Below are 24,005 nucleotides of genomic sequence, written 5' to 3'. Positions count from 1 at the left end.
TTCTTTTTACATAATTTATACTAATAATAATTATTATTACGGTTAAGGTAATGATGCCAAGTCTGTAAGCAAGCAGTATTCTTTGAAAGTAACAAAGCTAGAGCATGATGCAGAACAGGCAAAAGTCGAACTGATTGAAACACAAAAGCAGCTACAGGAGCTGGAAAACAAAGATCTTTCTGATGTTGCAATGAAGGTAAAATTACAGAAAGAGTTTCGTAAAAAGATGGATGCTGCAAAGCTGAGAGTTCAGGTAATTTAAAAAATGTAATTGAGAAAACTTATTTAAGCTTTCTTGCTTCTGAGGATTCTTGTACTGAGTTAGGAAAGAAGTGGGATTCAGTTTATACCAGCAAGAGAAACTGGGTATCAACTTTTCTTTTGTAGTGTGCTGGTCGATTTACATATTTTACAATCTGGGTAGTATATTTCTTAATTCAAGAAGTATCTTCTTTCAATCATCATATCAAAAAACCACATGGTAAGAAATAAACGTAACCACGAAACAGTGTTTATTTCTGAAGGACAAAGGATTAAATAATGATTAAATAATACAAATAAAACAGCTGGTACATATATGACACTTTGTAGACACTCAACAAATGGGAACTATTTCGAGATATGGTTTTCCCAAACCATAACTGATTGGCTTAAGAAAGGTTAATAACTTTGTGTACTGCAACTCATCCTTAACTTCCTAATGCCTGGTTTTAGCTTTAACTTTAGAAATAGCTACAGTTAAAAATTCTATTCTATGAGAAATATTCCATCACATGGAGATTTTGTGTGATGAAGCCATTTCCAGGTGCTTTGGAGATAGTCACAGTGCTTTGTTAGTCTGATCATAATGAACTTTCTAGGATGTGTCCTCTATTTCTTTATCTCTCATGGTCTACTGCTTTCTTTCATGTTATAGAAACATTTTTATATTTTTCCATTTTAGGTAGAGTTGTAATTAACCTATTCACAGCATTATTATTATTATTATTATTGAACTATGCCACAGTTATTTGCTTTAAACAAAATAGATGTTTACAATATACCTCTGGTGTGCCCGGTATATTGTAATATACCAGTATATTCTGGTGTGACAGGCCTGAAAAGTCCCTCCTGGGGTTTCTGATGCCACCTCAAACATCTGGATATTTCCACTAAAAATTGTTACCTAAATAGTTTCTCAAGTCAACATCAAGTTAAAATAATATGACTTGAATATTTGAACTGCTTAAAGGAGGACATAGGGTGGTTATCTATGTCACACCTTCCATTTTCCTTCAGCATAGTTATTTCCACTTTGGAATTCACCTTTCCATGCTTTGCTTCCTGCTGTATATCCTTTTCTGCTAAGAGTACTGATAAGGAAAGAAAATGAAAGGTGTAGAACTTTACCTCAAAAGAAACATCTGATACAGCAGAGGACAGAAAGAAGACATAGTTTTAGAAATTTTGTACCTTTGACATATCCATGCACTACTCATGGGGATAAGGATGATAAGGAGGATGAGGAGGACAGTAGTTACCATTTGAGGGCCTATACATACCAAATGGTTTATACGCATTATTTAATCCTTTGAAGTGGGCATTTTTAGCCATTTTACAAATGTGGAAAGAAAGGTTTAGAAAGGTAAAATAACTCAGTCAGAGTCCCATAGTGGTGATGACAATACCGGTTTTCAGTTCTCTAACATATCATACTTTTTTTTTGAGGTGAAGTCTTGCTCTGTTGCCCAGGCTGGAGTGCAGTGGCATGATCTCAGCCCACTGCAGTTGCCTCCTCCCAGGCTCAAATGATCCTCTTGCCTCAGGCTCTCAAATAGCTGGGATTACAGGTGCCTGCCACCACACCCGCAAATTTTTGTATTTTTAGTAGAGACGCAGTTTCACCACATTGGACAGGCTGGTCTCAAACTCCTGACCTCAAGTGATCCACCCGTCTCGCCCTCAGAAAGTGCTGGGATTACAGGTGTGAGTCACCACACCCAGCCATATCATGCTGTTTTAAAATATTGAAATACTAGTATTATTATTGGTATAAAACAGTTATTTCAATTTTTAAAACAAAACATTTTTAAATTAAAAACTTCTAAAACCTATATTTTTAATGTCTTTAGGTATATGTAGAGCGTTACATGCTGCATTAATAGTTTAATGCTGACAGATGCACTTTTGAGCAACTATGAAATAAGTGCAAAAGACAATGGCAACAGTATCTCACTCTTAAGTAAGACTTTCAGGATGTACACTGATATTTTTAATATTATGTGAAAAAGACACTAAAATGCTGGTATTATAATTTTTGCTGCAGTATTGTAATTACTGTCAATTGTAAGTGGCAAAGCCAGTGTCCAAATTTAGGTACTGGAAATGGCAAAGGCCTGTGGCCTCCAAGCCAGTGGTACCCAAAGTAGTCCATCTGCCGATTGTTCTTGTTCTGTGATGAGATAAAGGTCAGTCATTGCACAGCTTCCTTGATCAAAAAAGTCTCACATGAAAACGTCAACCGAATCTAACAGTATGCTGAGGAGTGCAAATTGACAACAATGTCTGTGAACTAGCACTGGTCCACAGATCACATTTTGAGTAGCACTGCTCTAAGCAGCAGTGCCTCTTGGATACTTAGTTTAATTAAAACAAAACTTGCCTATGCTAACACTTTATTGCCAAAATAAAGGAAATAATTAATTGTGGTCTGCATAATTTATGAATGACATCCCTTTACCTTTTTTATGCCACCTAATTGGTATTTAGTGCAATGCTAATCACATTATACAAGTTTAATACATGTTTGTTTGGTCAGGACTAAATTGTAACACAAGTATTTTATATTAGTGGTGTGAACACTTTGAAAGTCTAATGCTATCTGTACGTAATTTTAGTTAGATGAGAAGGAATTTAAGATAAATGTTAAAATAGTAATTATAATGGTTGGTCACTCTCAGGGAAGATGTTATCAGCTCTGATCATCCTAACTCAGGGATTAACGATTTAGGCTATAGCTGTAGCTATAAAAACAAGAGCACAGTAGAATGCTGTGCAGCCACCTGGAACAAATCTATATGAAAAGACCTCTGAGATAAGTAGGAAAAAAGGGAGACAGTAGTCTATATAGAATACATATGCAGCTATTTGCATGCATATGCATTGCATACATTTTTTTCTGGAAGAATATTTAAGAAATTGATAATTTTGTGTTGGGAAGCAGGACAGGTAGATTAGGGGTATATGATAAGAGTGACTCTTAAAATATAAATTCAGTTTTATACTGTTTTAACTATTTTTTAAATTAAAATACTTATTAATGAAAAGCAAATCATCTGTTTCATTTGTTTGTTGTCCACATCAGGAAGTCTCATGATTCTTTATACTTTTACATATGTGATGCAAATTATGATGGTTTCCCTAATTGCAAAAATGGAAATGTATGATAGTAAGCAATTGTTTGTAAACCTGTCAAAAATAAATGAAAATCTAGGGAAAATTTCTTCTTTTACCATCAAATGAAAAGATTAAGTTTAGTTGAGGATTGTGAGAGATTCAGTTTTTCATTTTGAAATATTCCATATGATCTCAGGTCTTGCAGAAGAAGCAACAAGATAGTAAGAAACTGGCATCACTGTCAATCCAAAATGAGAAACGTGCTAATGAGCTAGAGCAGAGTGTAGATCACATGAAATATCAAAAGATACAGCTACAAAGAAAACTACGAGAAGAAAATGAAAAAAGGAAGCAACTGGATGCAGTAATTAAGCGGGACCAGCAAAAAATCAAAGTAATATTGTCATACATTCCTGCTAAGTATAATATGAAATGTTAAACGGCTCAGAGCTAACGAATCCATGGTCTTCATTCAGTTGGCTTGTGAAGTATCTATCCTTGACCTGCCCTTCACTGCTGTCCTTATTCACTTTAAAGCTTTGTTCATCTACGTAGTAAAACCTACTTATTGAATTTTGAGTACTGTCTTGAAGGCTTTGACTTCACAAAAGAAGGTACAATGATAATTTCTCTTAGTAGGATCCTAACTTTAATTGAAGCTGTCAAAAACATACATTTATAAAGCCAACTTTCTAAATAATACCTATCATTTGAATAGGATTTTCTGTTTTCAAAGTGCTTTGACATGCGTTGTCCATGTGGCTACACAGAAAAAGTACCAGGTAAAGTGGTACCATTTCATTCACAGTGAGCAGAAAAATGATCAGACCTGTATGCACAGCAGTTCTAGAATAGATTGGGCTGGGGAAGAACTTAGTGGTGTCAGCCTAGGCTCTTTGACCAGGCTATCATAGGTTCAAATCCTAGCTCACTCAGTTGCTGGCTGAGAGATTTATTGAGAAAATAAATTTTCTCAAATTTCTCAAAAATTTTACCCTCTCTGAGTCTGTTTATTCTCATCTAAAATGGCCTTAATCCTACTTGTCCCACAGGGCTTTTTTGAAAAAGATGATGATGATCATAATAACAGACACTTATCTAGTACTATGTGCCAGGCTCTGTTCCGTTGAAATGTTAAGCTGAACCCAAGGCATGGGACATAATTGGAGATTTCCTAGATATTTTAAAAATTAAGATTTTATTTTTTTAGAGCCGTTTTAGGTTCACAGCAAAATTGAAAGGAAGGTGCAGAGATATGCCATATACTCCCTGTCCCTGCACATGTTTAGCCTCTCCTGTTATCAGTATGCCCCAGATTTCCTAGATTTTCAACAATGGATATAACCTATTTTCCGACCTTAAAAAAAAAAATCACAGAATTCAGCAATGGAAGGGAACTTAAAGAGCATTTAAACCAAGTTACTCATTATTTATTATTAATTTTTAAGTTGTGGTAAAATATATATAACATAAAATTTACCATTTTAACTTTTTTTCCTTTTTTTTTTTTTTGAGATGGAGTTTCACTCTTGTTGCCCAGGCTGGAGTGCAATGGTGTGATCTCGGCTCAACACAACCTCCGCCTCCTGGGTTCAAGTGATTCTCCTGCCTCAGCCTCCTGAGTAGCTGGGATTACAGGCGTGCACCACCACGCCCGGCTAATTTTGTATTTTTAGTAGAGATGGGGTTTCTCCATGTTGGTCAGGCTGGTCTTGAACTCCCGACCTCAGGTGATCTGCCCGCCTCAGCCTCCCAAAGTGCTGGGATTACAGGTGTGAGCCACCGTGCCCAACCCATTTTAACTGTTTTTTAAGTGTATAATTCAGTGGCATTAATTACATTCACAATCTTGTGCAACCATCACCACTATCTATTTCCAAAACATTTTCATCACTCCAGACAGACACTCTGTAATATTATGGAATAGCTCCTCATTTTCCCCTTCCCCCAGCTCTTGGTAATCTCTAATCTACTTTCTATATGAATTTGCTTATTCTAGATACTTCATATAAGTAGAATTATATAATATTTTACCTTCTGTGTCAGCCTTATTTCATTTAGCATAATATTTTCAAGGTTTGTCTACATTGCAGCATGTACAAGAACTTCATTCCCTTTTATTGCCAAGTAATATTCCATTGTATGGATATGCCACAGTTCTTTATCCATTCATCCATCAATGGACACTTGAGTTGTTTCTACCATTTGGCTATTGTGAATAATGCTGCAGTGAACACTGGCATACAAATAAGTCTCTGTTTTCAATTCCTTTGGGTATGTACCTAGGAGTATGTACCTAGGAGTAGAATTTCTGGGTTATATGGTAAATCTGTGCTTAGCTTTCTGAGAAACCACTGTTCTCCATAGCAGCAGCATCATTTTACATTTCCACCAGCAATGTGTGAATGTTCTAATTTCTCCTCACTTTTGTCAACACCTGTTTCTTTCCTTTTTTTAATTATAGTCATCTGAGTAGGTATGAAGTTGTATCGTTGTATCTCTTTTTTTTTTTTTTTTTTTTTTTTTTTTGAGACAGAGTCTCTCTGTTGCCCAGGCTGGAGTGCAGTGGCGTGATCTCGGCTCACTGCAAGCTCCGCCTCCTGAGTTCACGCCATTCTCCTGCCTCAGCCTCCCGAGTAGCTGGGACTACAGGCACCCGCCACCACGCCCGGCTAATTTTTTGTATTTTTAGTAGAGACGGGTTTTCACTGTGTTAGCCAGGATGGATGAAGTTGTATCTCATTGTGGTTTTGGTTTGCATTTCCCTAATGACTAATGATGTTGAGCATCTTTTCATGTGCTTATTGGCTGTTCATAAATCTTCTTTGGAGAAATGTCTATTCAAGTTCTTTGTCCACATTTTAATTTGGTTCTTTGTCTTTGTTGTTGAGTTGTATGAGTTCTTTACATATTCTGACATTAAATTCTATCAGATACGTGATTTCCAAATATTTTTTCCTATTCTGTAGGTTTTCTTTTTACTTTGATAATATCCTTTGATATGCAAAAATTTTTAGTTTTGTTGAAGTCCAATTTATCTATTTTTTTCTTCTGTTGCTTGTGCTTTTTGGTGTCATGTCTAAGAATCCATTGCCTAAATCCAAGGTCATGAAGATTTATGTTTTCTGCTAAGAGTTTTATGGTTTTTGCTTTTATATTTAGGTCATTGGTCCATTTGGGGTCAGTTTTTGTATATGGTGTGAAGTAGTGGTCCACATTTATTCTTTTGCATGTGGAACTCCAGTTGTACCAGTACCATCTGTTGAAGAGACTGTTCTTTCCTCCATTGAATGGACTTGGCACCCTTATCAAAAATCAGCTGGAGTGGGAAATAGGGAAATGCTGATGGGGAAACGGGGAGATGTTGGTCAAATGGTACAAAGTTGCAGTTATGTAGAATAAATAAGTCTAGAGACTTAGTGTACAGCATGATGACTATTGTATACTGGAAATTTGCTAAGAGAATGGATTTCAGGTACTCTTACCACAAAAAAAAAGCCAAAATGCTAACTATGTGAAGAGATAAATATGTTAGCTTGACTATAGTAATCATTTCACTATGTATATCAAAACATCATGTTGTATACCTTACATATGTACAATTTTGTTTTTTTGAGACAGGGTCTCACTCTGTCACCCAGGCTGAAGTGCGGTGCCATGATCATAGCCCACTGCAGCCTCCAATTCCTGGGCTCAAGTGATCCACCTGCCTTAGCCTCCTAAGCAGTGGGACTACAGACGCACACCACCACACCTGGCTAATTTTTTTCCCTACTTTTTATAGACAGTGTCTTGCTATATTTCCCAGGCTGGTTTTGAACTCCTGGCTTCAAGTGATCCTCTGGTCTTGGCCTCCCAAAGTATTGGGATTACAGACCTGAGCCACCATGCTTGGCCCCAATTTTTATTTTTAAAAAATCAACTGGCCATAGATATATGGTTACTAAACTCTCAGTTCTATTCCATAGGTCTATATGTCTATCCTCATGCTAGTATCACACTATTTTGATTACTGTAGGTTTGTATTAAGTCTTGAAATTGGGAAGTAAGTCCTCCCACCTTGCTCTTCTTTTTCAAGATGATTTTGGCTCTTCAGAGCCCCTACAGTTTTCCATGTGAATTTGAGGATGGGCCTTTCCATTTCTGCAAAAAAGGCCATTGGAATTTTGATAAGGATTGTTGAATCTCTAGATTGCTCTGAGTAGTATTGACATCTTGACAATATTAAATTTTCTTATCCACGAGCATGGGAAGTCTTTCCATTTGTTTAGGTCTTCATTAATTTCTTTCAGCAATGTCGTAATTTTTAGTGTACCAGTAGTATTTTACCTCTTTACTTAAACTTGTTCCTAGATATTCTTTTAGATGCTATTATAAATGGAATTGCTTTTTAAATTTCCTTGACACTATAAGATAACCCAGTGAAGAGTATGAGTTTAATTGCAGCTATGGAAAAGTATTCTATACTCACCTGGGATGGAGTATAGAAGTTAAGAGGGCAAAAATCAGAGCCATGAGGAACTCCCATATTTAAAAGAACTGGTAATAATAATAATGATATTCATAATAATGGTAATAATAATTATAGCAATAGTTAACATTTATTGAGATTTATATTCAGGCAATACTTTGCTAAGCATGTACGTGTCATCTTTTATCCTTTTTTCTTATTTTCAACTTTTTTTTTCTTCTGGATTTGTCTTTAAATATCTTAGTTTTTTTCATCCTAAAATTATCCTCCTTCAACCTTTTTCCCATCCCTTTCTTACCTCCCCTTTGTAACCAAACTTATTGGAAAAGTTGACTGCATTTGTTTCTGTTACTTCTACTTTCATTCATTCTCTTATCCTCTCCAGCTGGCTTCTGGCTCTATCACCCACTTCACAGCTCTTGAGAAGTTCACTAGTGCTCTCTCTGTCACTAAAGTCCTTATCTTAATACTGTGCATCCAGCACAGTTCAGCACTCCCTCCGTCTTGAAGTGTTTTCCCCTTGCTTTTGTGACGTTATACCTTCCTTGTTTTTTCCTCTCTTCCTGATTGCTTGTTCTCTGTCTTGGCTAGCTCATCCTACTCCACCGGTCCTTTTAAATATGGGAGTTCCTCATGGCTCTGGTCTCTGCCCTCTTCTATACTCCATCCTAGGTGAGTATAGGATACTTTTCCATGGCTACAATTAAACTGAAAATTTCCAAATTTAATGCTTAATCCCAAGTCTGTTCTTTGAGCTCCAACCTCTTCCCTAGGTTGTCTTATAGATGAATTAATGATCTTCCTTACTTACCTTTCCATGATTCCCCACTCCCTGCTCTCTTCATGGGGGAAAAATGTAGTTCTCCAATGTGCCTTACATGATATATCAGTTGGGTGTGCTAGAAATTTAGGCATCATCATTGGCTCTTGCGTCTTTCTTATGCATATCCAATGAACCATTAAAGCCTTCAGAGTATATCTTTAAAACACCATGAATCTGTCCAATTTTCATTTCTTCTGCCAACAACTTAGTCTGTTTTGTTTTAGCTCTTTTTCCAATGTGAAGATCAGGCCAGGCTGTTCAGTGTTGTGGTCTTTGGGTTTTAACTCCTCATCTCTCATAGGCCATGGCTTAAACCAGCAAGACATAGCACTCTCTAAATCCATGCTTAGGGAAAAGAAGACACTGTCTTCTTCAAAGAGTAGAAGTCTGCTGAAATGCAACTCTGCTTGTAACTCAAACTTTTACCTTCTTATCTAGTGCACTTTTTTTTTTTTTTTTTTTTGAGACAAGGTCTTGCTCTGTCATCCAGGCTTGAGTGCAGTGATGTGATCATGGCTCACTGTAGCCTTGGCCTCCTGGGCTCAAGGAATCCTCCCACCTCAGCCTCCCAAGTAGCTAGGACTGCAGGCACATGCCAGCGTACCTCACACACTTTTTAATTTTTTGTAGAGATAGGGTCTTACTATATTGCCCAGGCTGATCTCGAACTCCTGGGCTCAAGTGATCCTCCTGCCTCAGCCTCCCAAAATGCTGGGATTACAGGCATAAGCCACCACACCTTGCCACCTAGGGCACTTTTATTCCATCTTGCCACATCTCTAATTTTAGTGAAATGACCCATTTATGGGGGATATCAGGTATTCCAGAAAAAGGAACAGACTTTCCCAAAGATACATTGATGTATCCTCTACTTAATGCAAAAACAGAAAACCTGCTTACAGTCCTAAAGGATAAAATTTGCTGTCTGTTTGGAGCTAACTCTCTGAGACTCCTGTCTCTTTTCTACTTGACTAAACCATTTCCAAAGAATAGTACAACTTCTGCATAGGTTCTCTTCAGAGCGGTAGTTCTTAACTGAGGTCCATGGATAGGCTTTGAAGAAAAGATATGAGAATTCCTGAAATTGTGGGTGGTGGTGTGATCTTAAGCTTTTTAACCACCCATTTCCTCATCTATAAAATGGATTTTATAATAGTCCCTATATCATAGGATTGTTGTGAGGGCTAAATGGGATAATTAAATAGATATAAAAAGTCTAGCACAGTGCCTGGTACACAGTTATTTTAATATGTATAACAAAGATTACAATGTAAGGAAAAAGGCATTGTCTGGAGCAACATGTGGAAGAGGGAATTAGAAGTACTCCTGTGTCCTTTTTTTTTTTGACACGGAGTCTCTCTTTGTTGCCCAGGCTGGAGTGCAGTGGTGTGATCTCGTCTCACTGCAAGCTCCGCCTCCCGGGTTCATGCCATTCTCCTGCCTCAGCCTCCCAAGTAGCTGGGACTACAGGCACTTGCCACCACACCCGGCTAATTTTTTTGTCTTTTTAATAGAGACACAGGGTTTCACGGTGTTAGCTAGGATGGTCTCGATCTCCTGACCTTGTGATCTACCCGCCTTGGCCTCCCAAAGTGCTGGGATTACAAGTGCAGTATACTTTTAAAGTGTATGTGGACAAACAGAAATACTACGTAGAGAGTCAACTCCAAGTATAAGGTCTCTTTATTTAAGGTAGCTTTATTTCATCATCCTGAAATGTCTAGGGCTATCACAGGGGCTAAATTATAGCTATGAACTAGAACTAGGGAAGCATCAAGAACTATGGGTGGTAAACATAATAGAGTCCAAATTCACTCATAACTCAGATGGGTGTAACATTTTTCTTTATTTAGTCTATAGCACCTGTCTTCTTTGTGAGTGCACTTCTCTTATATCCATGTCATGATTATTGCTGGAAATATGGTGGAAACTAATCAAATGTTCTCTCTGTTCAAACCTTGTTCTAAAAATCTAAACACTTCCTTTAAATACTTCTCAGGTCTTTTGAATAAGAAGGCTCAGTCTCTTAGCCTCCTCTTCCCTATGCTTCTCTCCCTAAGATGACAGCCAGTGTATGTTGTAGTTGGGTGTATAGCCTTCTTTTATCCTATGCCTTGGAGTTGAGGATTGTGACCAGCTGGAAATTGTGCTCCCTTGTCCACCTTACCCTGCCTAATCTGCTGGCCCCTGATGATGAAACCCCTGGCTGGTATAACTCGCAGTTTGATCTTGCTTCTGGTTTAGAGCATGGGGGTGCTTTCCCTTCATCTCATCTCCCACTAGCATTATAAGCCCCTACTGAGGCTACTAGGCATTCTGTCTAGCTTGCTAGCCCAGTGGCCTGTCCTTATACCTAGTTTGGGAGCCAGTTCCCCACAGTGACTACCTACATTAGCTCTCAACTCAGGATCCAAGCCACTTGAGACCAAGGAGTCCAACTGGGGTCTCTTTCCTAATCGTACCTCTCTGCTTTTTCAGCAAGGCTGGGCAATTGTATATGGGTGTGGGGCTTCTGCACTGCAGTCTGCATTTTCTCTCCTGAATAGTTTAGGAGCCCGTCTCTCCCCATTGATACCTTTACTTATCATCCCCCTTTCTGGACCAAAACTCAGACAGAGGACAATTGGGAAACAAGTCTTCCTTACTGTCTCTTTTCTCCTTTCTGCCATTCCCAGGGCTGGAGAGCACTAGGCTTTTCTTTTACTTCCTATCAGTGCTTCTGAAATTACTTGTGGAGAAGGTATAATTTTTATTTTGTTATAAATTTGTCACAGCCTAACACTTTTATAAAACATGAATTAGTAGAAAAGTGAAATTTAAAATATACAAATAAAAGTCCATTTTAAAAATTGTTAGAGTCATCAGACATAAAATTATTCTGTCAAATTGCTATAAAAGTATCTCAGCACTTTCAATTGTGTACTTATCCATCACAGACCAGTAACAGAGAGTATGTGAACTGTCCAGCTTTGACTCATGGCCTCCTTCCTGTCCTGCTAAGCTTTAGTGATGGACAACATCATTTCTAAACCCCTAGAAGGCACCATGAACATTGCGCCTTTTGTTTTGTTTTGTTTTGTTTTGAGACGGAGTCTCACTCTGTCACCTAGGCTAGAGTGCAGTGGCGCGATCTCAGCTCACCGTACTCTGCCTCTCAAGTTCAAGCGATTCTCGTGCCTCAGCCTCCTGAGTAGCTGGGAATACAGGCACACGCCCGGCTAATTTTTGTATTTTTAGTAGAGACGGGGTTTCCCCATGTTGGCCAGACTGGTCTTGAACTCCTGACCTCAGGTGATCAGCCTGCCTCAGCCTCCCAAAGTGCTGGATTACAGGCATGAGCCACCACTCCTGGCCAACATCGCACCTCTTGACTTGACCCTTAAGATGTGGATGGAGGCTGGGCGTGGTGGCTCATGCTTGTAATTCCAGCACTTTGGGAGGCTGAGGCAGGTGGATCACCTGAGGTCAGGAGTTCGAGACCAGCCTGGCCAACATGGTAAAACCCTGTCTCTCCTAAAAAATAAAAAAGAAAATACAAAAATTAGCCAGGTGTGGTGGCACATGCCTATAATACCAGCTACTCAGGAGGCTGAGGCATGAGAATTACTTGAAACCTGGGAGGCGGAGGTTGCAGTGGGCCAAGATTATGCCATTGCATCCAGCCTGGGTGACAGAGTGAGACTTTGTCTAGAAAAAAAAAAAAAAGATGTGGATGGAAACTAATTTGGAAAATGCACTTCATAAGACCATGATCTGTCTTCCAAGTCTATTCTCATATTGCAAACTCCCATTTTTGAACACTAGAAATTGAACATTACTTTTCTTTTTGCATTTCTACATAATAAATTTTAATATACTCACAGCAGATGGATGTCTTGGGTGGAGTAACTATGAAAGTAATAAGCTCAGAAAGGCAGAAGAGAATAACCCACTTATAAATTTCAGACTCTTATCCTTGTTACACTAATGTGTAACACTCACGAAGAATGAAAAAAATGCTCAGTTTTGTTAGTAAATCCTAATTTTTGCAGTTGTATTGCCTCAGTAAGAGCTAACATTCCTTTCTTCTTAGATATGCTAATTATCCTGGTCTGATCACTATACGTTATATGTATTGAAATAATCACTGTGTACCTCACGAAAATGTACAATTATTATTTGTCAATTAAAAATTAAGGCTGAGCATGGTGACTTATGCCTATAATCCCAGAACTTTAGGAAGTTGAGGCTGGAGGATCACTGGAGGCCAGGAAGATCACTAGAGACTGGCCTGGGCAATGTAACAAGACCCCATCTCTACAAAAAATTAAAAAAAAAAATTAGCTGGATGTGGTGGTACACACCTGTAGTCCTAGCTACTTGGGAGGCTGAGGTGAGAGGATTACTTGAGCCCAGGAGCTTGAGCTTACAGTGAGCTATGATCACGCCATTGCACTCTAGTCTAGATACAGAGTGAGACCCTATCTCTAAAAAAATTTTTTAAACAAAAAAATCCACACATTATTTTCTTCTCAAATAGAGCCCCAACTGTCATCTACTCATTTTCTCTTTCTGTGACTAAGGAAGTAAATGTTAAGAAAATGTGGCTGGATGGCTTGAGCCCAGGAGTTTGAGGCTGTGATTGTGCCACTGCACTCCAGCCTGGGTGACAGAGCGAGAGCTTGTCTCCAAAAAAAAAAAAAAAAAAAAGAAAATAATTGTCATCAGCATACTTAATGGTCAGGTGTAAAAGCAATAAGGTGTTTTCAATTTCTTTTTCTATAGGAAATACAATTAAAAACAGGACAGGAAGAAGGTCTAAAACCGAAAGCTGAGGACCTTGATGCATGTAACTTGAAAAGGAGAAAAGGTTCGTTTGGAAGTATAGACCATCTCCAGGTTTGTCAATTCTATTTAGTGTTTCCTGGTTTCTCTTCAATCTGATGGTTGTCTAAATAGAGGTAAACTCACACCTGTAATCCTAGCACTTTGGGACGCCGAGGTGGGTGGATCACCTGCGGTCAGGAGTTCAAGACCAGCCTGGTCAACATGGTAAAACCCCGTCTCTACTAAAAGTATAAAAATTAGCCGGGCTTGGTGGCAGGCGCTTGTAATCCCAGCTACTTGGGAGGCTGAGGCAGGAGAATCGCTTGAACCCTGGAGGTGGAGGCTGCAGTGAGCCGAGACCATGCCACTGCACTCCAGACTGGGCAACAAGAGCAAAACTCCCTCTCAATAAATAGATAGGTAGATAGATAGATAGATAGATAGATAGAGAGATAGATAGATGTAAAAACTGGTGGACTCTGAATAAAACCTTCAAACACTAGATGCCGCCCAAATGCAAAATTTCTAGTATTTGTTTTGAAACTTTATTATTTTTCTTTTCTTAAATTTTAGATTCAGGGATACACATGCAGGTTTGTTACATGGGTATATTGTGTGATGCTAAGATTTGGGCTTCTAATAATCCTGTTGCCCAAGTAGTGAAACTTTTATTATTACAAAATTATGTTCTCATCCAGAAATGTGCTGTATTTTTTGTTTTTTCTTGCTCTCAGCAGAATCAATATATTCTTATTTTGGTAGAAATGAGTTGATTTGAATGTTGTAGAATATAAACATGAAATCCATGTTCACTGGACTGTATTTATTCCCATCTCATGAAGACGAGTATATTTTATTTTTTTTGAGACAGAGTCTCGCTCTGTCACCCAGGCTGGAGTGCTGTGGCATGATCTCAGCTCACTGCAAGCTCCGCCTCCCGGGTTCACACCATTCTCTTGCCTCAGCTTCCCAAGTGGCTGGGACCACAGGTGCCCACCACCACGCCTGGCTAATTTTTTGTATTTTTAGTAGAGACGGGGTTTCACCATGTTAGCCAGGATGGTTTCGATTTCATGATCTGCCCGCCTCGGCCTCCCAAAGTGCTGGGATTACAGGTGTGAGCCACCGCGCCCAGCTGAAGACAAGTATATTTCTAAAAATCAGAACTCTACATTCAAAGAAAACCAAATTGTATATGTACTTTATATATTAAAAAGCCATTATTTTAGTGCCACCTTTTAAAAAGAAAGTCATAATCCACAAACTAATTTTGAAGTTCAAAGAAATTGAAATTTTAAATTTTATGTAAGCAAAAAATACTGTATTTAAAATACCTAGAATGCAATTATCTCTACCTTACTTTAGAAAGATTTATTCTCTCTTCATAAATTTTACATTACATTTTCTTAGTGACATTTAATAGTGACATGGGTACATTCCCATACACACCCATTCCACCCAGAAATGTCATCACCAGTTGTAATTTTTTAGGTTTTTTCCTTTTAAGTGGAGCTTAAAAAGAATCTCTTATTCATCTTTCAAACCCCACTCACAGTTTAAGAATGTTTGTAGAATATATTTAAGTTACTTGCTAGACTTCCTAGGATCTCCTACCGGAGTATTTAAGGATATGACAAAATTAACATTTTTATAGTTGCTCTTTCTCTTCCTAATAATTGTAGAGCTACTATAATATTTTAGGCTCCAGTGTTATCTGGACATGATAGTGCTTATAAGATTATACTATTAATATATTGGTATTATTGGAAGACCGAATAGCTATGCATCTTCTTTGTCTTGGCCATTTTGCTCTCTTTTTCTCATATATATTCACTGTCTCATTGTATGATAGATTTCCAGAAACCCTTTCTATAAGGTTCATGAAGGACTAGGAAATAATACTATATGGATTTCTTTTCCTATTTATTTGTTGTTTTGGTGGCAGTGCTTCATTACCATGTCCACTTGGTAGAGTTCCTTTTAAACAGTCATATTCCATCTATATTTATGTTTGTATTTGTTTCCGCATATCCTTAATTCAAGAGAGTACTCAGATGTTTGTTTTGGAGATCTTTTCAGCAATTTTTTATTTTTGTTTTTTTTCTTTTTTAAAAATAATTATTTGAGGTTGACAAGCTACAATGCAAATTGGCTTTCCTTCCATCCTCCATCATCTGTGTCTTCCACTGTGTGTATTCATTTATTCACTTCATTGACTGACTGAATCAGGCATTCATTCACTCATTCATTTAACATTTTATTGAATGCCTACTGTGGCCCAGGCAATATACCAGCCATGTGGATAGACGGGTAAAAACTACAGCCCCTGCAATCAATCAAGGAGCTCAAGCTGGGGAGATAGATACGTAGGGCAGCCACCAGTGTAAGTGCTGTGATGGAACTGTGCACCACTACAACAGAGTAAAAGATTCCAGCATGTTCTTAATATAGGCATAGAAAATTATCAGCCCTTTCTTCGTCAGGCTAAAAAATCCTAGACTGTTTAACATATCTGGGGAGTAAATTTTAATTCTTTATAAAACAACATAGCTACATCTTGACTAGAACCACTGATGTCTTTAGGATCTCAGACGGCTACCTGAGTTACTCTGAGTGATAGTTTTTAAATGTTCATTTAAGAGATTTCAGCCAATCTGAAATTCTATTATTACCATATAATTTTTATGGCAGAAGGAAAAACAAGTAACTTTTTTTTTAATTTTAATGTAGAAATTGGATGAGCAAAAGAAATGGTTAGATGAAGAAGTAGAGAAAGTTCTGAACCAACGCCAAGAATTAGAGGAGCTGGAAGCAGACTTAAAGAAACGGGAGGCCATAGTTTCTAAGAAGGAGGCTCTGTTACAGGAGAAGAGTCACCTGGAAAATAAGAAATTGAGATCTAGTCAGGTATTCTGTTTAATACACTACTTGATTCTGGTTGTAAACCACTCCCTACTCCCCACTAGGATGGCTATAATCAGAAAAACATAATAAGAAATGTGTGGGAGGAGGTGGAGAAATTGGGACCTTCATACACTGCTGGTGAAATTGGAAAATGGTGCAATTGCTTTGGATAACCATTTTGTAGTTCCTCAAAAGGCTAAACTTACGGATACTATGTGACCCAGTAATCTCACTCCTAGGGATGGGTGGGAGGGTGGGTGGGTGGATTAATGGATGGATGGATGGATGGATAGATAGATAGATAGATAGATCTATCTCTGTATGTATTTCTCCATGAGAAATGAAAGCATGTATCCACACAAAAACTTGAACATGAACATTCATAGTAACATTATTCATAATAGCTAAAAACTGAAAACAACACAAATGTTCATCAAGTGATGAATGGATAAACTGTGATTATCCATACAATAGCGTATTATTTGACAATAGAAGGGAATGAAGTACTGATACATGCTACAACATGGATGAACCTTGAAAACCTATGTTAAGTGAAAGAAACCAGTCACAAAAGACCACCTTTGTATAATACCATTTGTATCAAGTCTCCAGAATGGGCAATTCCATTTCTGTCCAGAGACAAAAACTAGAATAGTGGTTACCTAGGGTTGGTGGGGGATTGCGGGGGAAATAGAATGCCTACTAATAGGTGTGGGGTTTCTTTTTTTGGGGGGGGGGTGAATAAAATATAAAATTGATTGTGGTGATGGTTACATAACTGTGAATATATGAAAAACCATTGAATTATATACTTCATTTTTTTTTTTAATTTTTTGAGACTGGAGTGCAGTGGCGCGATCTGTGCTCACTGCAACCTCTGCCTCCTGGGTTCAAGCGATTCTCCTGTATCAGTCTCCCGAGTAGCTCGGACTACAGGCGCACACCACCATGCCCAGCTAGTTTTTGTATTTTTAGTAGAGACTGGGTTTCACCATATTGGTCAGACTGGTCTCGAACTTCTGACCTTGTGATCCGCCCATCTTGGCCTCCCAAAGTGCTGGAATTACAGGCATGAGCCACCATGCCCGGCCTTGAGTTATATACTTTAAATTGGTGAACTGCATGGTATGTAGATTATATCTCATTAAAGCTATTATGTTTTTTGAAAAGCCATAAAAGGGAAAAGACAGTAGAGGAGATAACAGAGGACAAAAGATTACAAAAAAAGAAAAGATGGAAAGCAAATAGATGAGAGCTTATTAACTTAGCAGAACAGAAGATGCTGCATTCCAAGTACCTAGAGAGACACAAATGAGAGCCAGGCCAAGACCCTACATATATGCTATCACCACACATCTTACCAGCTTTTTAATACCTGACTCTGAAATGTGATGGGCATTTTAGGAATGCTTTAGATGTTTTCCTTTTTTAAAAATAACAGTTTTAGAGAGATAAAATTCACATAGAACATCAAAAAGACTCAGAAATGAAGGGACCAAGATTTTCAGAAGGCAGGAGTAGCATAAAGATGAAAACAGGGCATAGTCATGAAACTATTTTTTCTTACTCTGGGACCGATTTATTTTCTGAAGATTGAACCAGGCACAGCAAAGGTTGTGATAAGTCAAAAAAACTCCAGGTAGGGAATGAATGCAAGTCTGCATATGAATCGTGAAACATCTATTTCCTAATCTCTACTTGGATCTAAGAATGCTGGCAGCCAGATTTATACTTCCTAGCCGGAGATTGGCATATTTTCTGAAACATCTAAAAAGATATGAAAACTCTTAAATTTGGAAGCCCCCACTTAAATAAGTGGCCCACGTATATGCTGTTACCACAAATCTTATCTGCTTTTCGATACCTGACTCTGAAATATGATGGACATTTCAGGAATGCCACTATTAAAGACAGAAAACAAAACAAAAGGAAAAAATAAACTCAGAGACATTAGAGATAGAGCAAGAAGCTGAAAAAAACTTCACAGAAATCTTAATATCCTCAATGTGGTAAAAGATGACTATCTATAAATAACTACAAGTTATTAAAAACATGAAAGAGCTCTTGGAAATTAAAAGGGTTGGAGGATAGGCAGGGCGCGGTGGCTCACACCTGTAATCCCAGCACTTTGGGAGGCCAAGGCGGGCAGATCACTGGAGGTCAGGAGTTCGACACCAGCCTGACCAACATGGTGAAACCCTGTCTCTTCTAAAAATACAAAAATTAGCCAGGCGTGGTTGTGGGCACCTGTAATCCCAGGTACTTGGGAGCTGAGGCAGGACAATCACTTGAACCTGAGAGGCAGAGGTTGCAGTGAGCCGAGACCATGCCATTGCACTCCAGTCTGGGTGACAAGAGCAAAACTCCATCTCAAAAAAAAGGGTCAGAGGATAAAGTTGAGGAAATATTCCAAAAAGTAAGTAAAAATATAAGTTAATAGAAAGTAGGAGCAAAACATTTTTAATTGGCAGATAAATCCAGAAAGCCCAAGATCCAAGTAATGGGAATTCCAGAAAGATACAACAGAGAAAACAGAAAAGAGGAGAGTATCAAAGACATCATATAAAAAATTTTCTCAACACCAGTAATGTGAGGCTCTAGGCCTCTCACGTGCAGAGACACATATAGGCTCAAAATAAAGGGATGGAGGAAGATATACCAAGCAAATGGAAAACAAAAAAAGGCAGGGGTTGCAGTCCTAGTCTCTGATAAAACAGACTTTAAACTAAGAAAGATCAAAAGAGATAAAGAAGGCCATTACATAATGGTAAAGGGCTCAATTCAACAAGAAGAGCTAACTATCCTAAATATATATGCACCCAATATAGGGGCACCCAGATTCATAAAGCAAGTCCTTAGAGACCTACAAAGAGACTTAGACTCCCACACAATAATAATGGGAGACTTTTAACACCTCACTGTCAACATTAGACAGATCCATGAGACAGAAAGTTAACAAGGATATCCAGGAATTGAACTCAGCTCTGCACCAAGCAGACCTAATAGACATCTACAGAACTTTCCACCCCAAATCAACACAATATACATTCTTCTCAGCACCACATCACACTTATTCCAAAATTGACCACATAGTTGGAAGTAAAGCACTCCTCAGCAAATGTAAAAGAATAGAAATTATAACAAACTGTCTCTCAGACTACAGTGCAATCAAACTAGAACTCAGGATTAAGAAACTCACTCAAAACCGCTCAACTACATGGAAACTGAACAACCTGCTCCTGAATGACTACTGTGTACCTAATGAAATGAAGGCAGAAATAAAGATGTTCTTTGAAACCAACAAGAACAAAGACACAACATACCAGAATCTCTGGGACACATTTAAAGCAGTGTGTAGAGGGAAATTTATAGCACTAAATGCCGACAAGAGAAAGCAGGAAAGATCTAAAATTAACAGCCTAACATCACAATTAAAAGAATTAGAGAAGCAAGAGCAAACACATTCAAAAGCTAGCAGAAGGCAAGAAATAACTAAGATCAGAGCAGAACTGAAGGAGATAAAGACACAGAAAACCCTTCAAAAAATCAGTGAATCAAGGAGCTGGTTTTTTGAGATCAAGAAAATTGATGGACTGCTAGTAAGACTAATAAAGAAGAAAAGAGAGAAGAATCAAATAGACGCAATAAAAAATGATAAAGGGGATATCACCACCGATCCCACAGAAATACAAACTACCATCAGAGAATACTATAAACACCTCTATGCAAATAAACTAGAAAATCTAGAAGAAATGGATAAATTCCTGGACACATACACCCTCCCAAGACTAAACCAGGAGGAAGTTGAATCTCTGAATAGACCAATGACAGGCTCTGAAATTGAGGCAATAATTAATAGCTTACCAACCGAAAAAAGTCCAGGATCAGACGGATTCACAGCCGAATTCTACCAGAGGTACAAGGAGGAGCTGGTACCATTCCTTCTGAACCTATTCCAATCAATAGAAAAAGAGGGAATCCTCCCTAACTCATTTTATGAGGCCAGCATCATCCTGATAACAAAGCCTGGCAGAGACACAACAAAAAAAGAGAATTTTAGACCAATATCCCTGATGAACATTGATGCAAAAATCATCAATAAAATACTGGCAAACCGAATCCAGCAGCACATCAAAAAGCTTATCCACCATGATCAAGTGGGCTTCATCCCTAGGATGCAAGGCTGGTTCAACATACGCAAATCAATAAATGTAATCCAGCATATAAACAGAACCAAAGACAAAAACCACATGATTATCTCAATAGATGCAGAAAAGGCCTTTGACAAAATTCAACAGCCCTTCATGGTAAAAACTCTCAATAAATTAGGTATTGAGGGGACATATCTCAAAATAATAAGGGCTATTTATGACAAACCTACAGCCAATATCGTACTGAATGGGCAAAAACTGGAAGCATTCCCTTTGAAAACTGGCACAAGACAGGGATGCCCTCTCTCACCACTCCTATTCAACATAGTGTTGGAAGTTCTGGCCAGGGCAATCAGGCAGGAGAAAGAAATAAAGGGTATTCAGTTAGGAAAAGAGGAAGTCAAATTGTCCCTGTTTGCAAATGACATGATTGTATATCTAGAAAACCCCATCGTCTCAGCCCAAAATCTCCTTAAGCTAATAAGCAACTTCAGCAAAGTCTCAGGATACAAAATCAGTGTGCAAAAATCACAAGCATTTTTATACACCAATAACAGACAAACAGAGAGCCCAATCATGAGTGAACTCCCATTCACAATTGCTTCAAAGAGAATAAAATACCTAGGAATCCAACTTACCAGGGATGTGAAGGATCTCTTCAAGGAGAACTACAAACCACTGCTCAATGAAATAAAAGAGGATACAAACAAATGGAAGAATATTCCATGCTCATGGGTAGGAAGAATCAATATCGTGAAAATGGCCATACTGCCCAAGGTAATTTATAGATTCAATGCCATCCCCATCAAGCTACCAATGACTTTCTTCACAGAACTGGAAAAAACTACTTTAAAGTTCATATGGAACCAAAAAAGAGCCCGCATTGCCAAGACAATCCTAAGCCAAAAGAACAAAGCTGGAGGCATCACGCTACCTGACTTCAAACTATACTACAAGGCTACAGTAACCAAAACAGCATGGTACTGGTACCAAAACAGAGATATAGACCAGTGGAACAGAACAGAGCCCTCAGAAATAATACCACACATCTACAACTCTCTGATCTTTGACAAACCTGACAAAACAAGAAATGGGGAAAGGATTCCCTCTTTAACAAATGGTGCTGGGAAAACTGGCTAGCCATATGTAGAAAGCTGAAACTGGATCCCTTCCTTACATCTTATACAAAAATTAATTCAAGATGGATTAAAGACTTAAATGTTAGACCTAAAACCATAAAAACCCTAGAAGAAAACCTAGGCAATACCATTCAGGACATAGGCATGGGCAAGGACTTCATGTCTAAAACACCAAAAGCAATGGCAACAAAAGCCAAAATTGACAAATGGGATCTAATTAAACTAAAGAGCTTCTGCACAGCAAAAGAAACTACCGTCAGAGTGAACAGGCAACCTACAGAATGGGAGAAAATTTTTGCAATCTACTCATCTGACAAAGGGCTAATATCCAGAATCTACAATGAACTCAAACAAATTTACAAGAAAAAAACAACCCCATCAACAAGTGGGCGAAGGATATGAACAGACGCTTCTCGAAAGAAGACATTTATGCAGCCAACAGACACATGAAAAAATGCTCATCATCACTGGCCATCAGAGAAATGCAAATCAAAACCACAATGAGATACCATCTCACACCAGTTAGAATGGCAATCATTAAAAAGTCAGGAAACAACAGGTGCTGGAGAGGATGTGGAGAAATAGGAACACTTTTACACTGTTGGTGGGACTGTAAACTAGTTCAACCATTGTGGAAGACAGTGTGGTGATTCCTCAAGGATCTACAACTAGAAATACCATTTGACCCAGCCATCCCATTACTGGGTATATACCCAAAGGATTATAAATCATGCTGCTATAAAGACACATGCACACATATGTTTATTGTGGCACTATTCACAATAGCAAGACTTGGAACCAACCCAAATGTCCAACAATGATAGACTGGATTAAGAAAATGTGGCACATACACACCGTGGAATACTATGCAGCCATAAAAAGTGATGAGTTCATGTGGTTTGTAGGGACATGGATGAAGCTGGAAACCATCATTCTCAGCAAACTATTGCAAGGACAAAAATCCAAACACCGCATATTCTCACTCATAGGTGGGAATTGAACAATGAGAACACTTGGACACAGGAAGGGGAACATCACACACCGGGGCCTGTTGTGGGGTGGGGGAAGGGGGGAGGGATAGCATTAGGAGATATACCTAATGTAAATGATGAGTTAATGGGTGCAGCACACCAACATGGCCCATGTATACATATGTAACAAACCTGCACATTGTGCACATGTACCCTAGAACTTAAAGTTATATATATATATATAAAGAAATAGCCCATCAAGGGGCCAGCAAAATGAGTACCCAAAAGATATCACTGTGAAGGTTTGGATACACTGACTGAGGAAAAAAGAAGGTCCTGAAAGCGTCTAGACAAAAAAGACTACTTGTAAGTTGCAAGAATCAGAATGGCATTGGACTTCTCAGCTTTCCTCATTAGAAGTTTAAGATCTGAAGCAATCTTTAAACTCGTGAGGAAAATTAAGTCTAATAAATAATTTTCTTCTTAGCCAAACAATCAAATGTGAAGCTAGAATAAGCATTTTCAGGTAAAAAAAAAAAAAATCTCCCATCAAGCCTATCCAGGGAAACTACTAGAGAATGTGCTCCACAAAAATAAGGGCACAAACTATGAAAAAGGAAGACTCAGGATTCTGAAAATGTGCTCCAACATGGAAATTCTCAGGAAATACCAAAGGGAAGACCCAGGACAACTGGTCCAGTGTGGAGCAGGAGGATGGATGCTCCAGGCAAAATGTTTCCAGAAAAGAATAGATTGAAAAGATTTCCTGATAAGTTTGATAAATGAAAAAGTGTTGAGGAATTTTATAGTTCTGTTGGAGAAGAATTAGCTATAAGGTGCAATAAAAAGTTGTATCAAAACAGAAGCATGATCATTTCACACTAGATAGTTCACCTATGAATAACAAAGTTATAATAATGAAAATGAATATTGATTTAACTAAAAACTGTAATGTAACTTATATTGGGAGAATGGAGGAGGTTGGGAAGTAGAGTAGGTACAAGAGTGCTAAATCCTTATCTCCCATAATACATAGTCAGTAGACAATGTCTAAAATTGATAATGCCATTTAGAAACATGGACATAAACACCAGAAGAACCAACTGAAAAGGTTGAAGGTGGCCGTCTTGGAGTAGGATTCAATTAAAAGCTTGGGGGAGGGGAATGCTTTTTTAAAGTTATAAACCTTATGATAGTATGTGTCTCTATAATAAACCTTATGGTAGTATATACAAATAATTACTGTGAACAGTAATTTACAAATTACCTGATATTTGACCATAGTGAACATCTCCATAAATCTGACCATATTTTCTGATCAGAATGAAATACAAGTAAAAACAAATTATATGTTTAAGCCAACCA

At 38.1% G+C, this 24,005-nt stretch overlaps 1 protein-coding gene across 34 annotated transcripts in view; it reads left to right on the top strand.

Moving 5' to 3' along the window:
- Positions 1-24,005, top strand: part of KIF27 (kinesin family member 27) — an 87,334-nt gene that overhangs the window by 37,367 nt on the left and 25,962 nt on the right. For 24 of the 34 annotated variants that reach the window (NM_017576.4, XM_011518848.4, NM_001354070.2 and 21 more), the window contains 4 exons: positions 48-253; positions 3,572-3,769; positions 13,434-13,547; positions 16,206-16,382. In NM_017576.4, the coding sequence (NP_060046.1) occupies positions 48-253; positions 3,572-3,769; positions 13,434-13,547; positions 16,206-16,382 (695 nt within the window). Of the gene's footprint in view, positions 1-47; positions 254-3,571; positions 3,955-13,433; positions 13,548-16,205; positions 16,383-24,005 lie in introns of those variants that run through there. The other 10 variants (NM_001271927.3, XM_017014905.2, NM_001354069.2 and 7 more) reach the window with 6 other exon arrangements.

This window comes from Homo sapiens, chromosome 9, assembly GCF_000001405.40.
Source record: "Homo sapiens chromosome 9, GRCh38.p14 Primary Assembly".
Classification (NCBI taxonomy): Eukaryota; Metazoa; Chordata; class Mammalia; order Primates; family Hominidae; genus Homo; species Homo sapiens.
The sequence above is the reverse complement of the archived record's forward strand: the minus strand, read 5'-3'. Positions and strand labels throughout refer to the sequence as shown.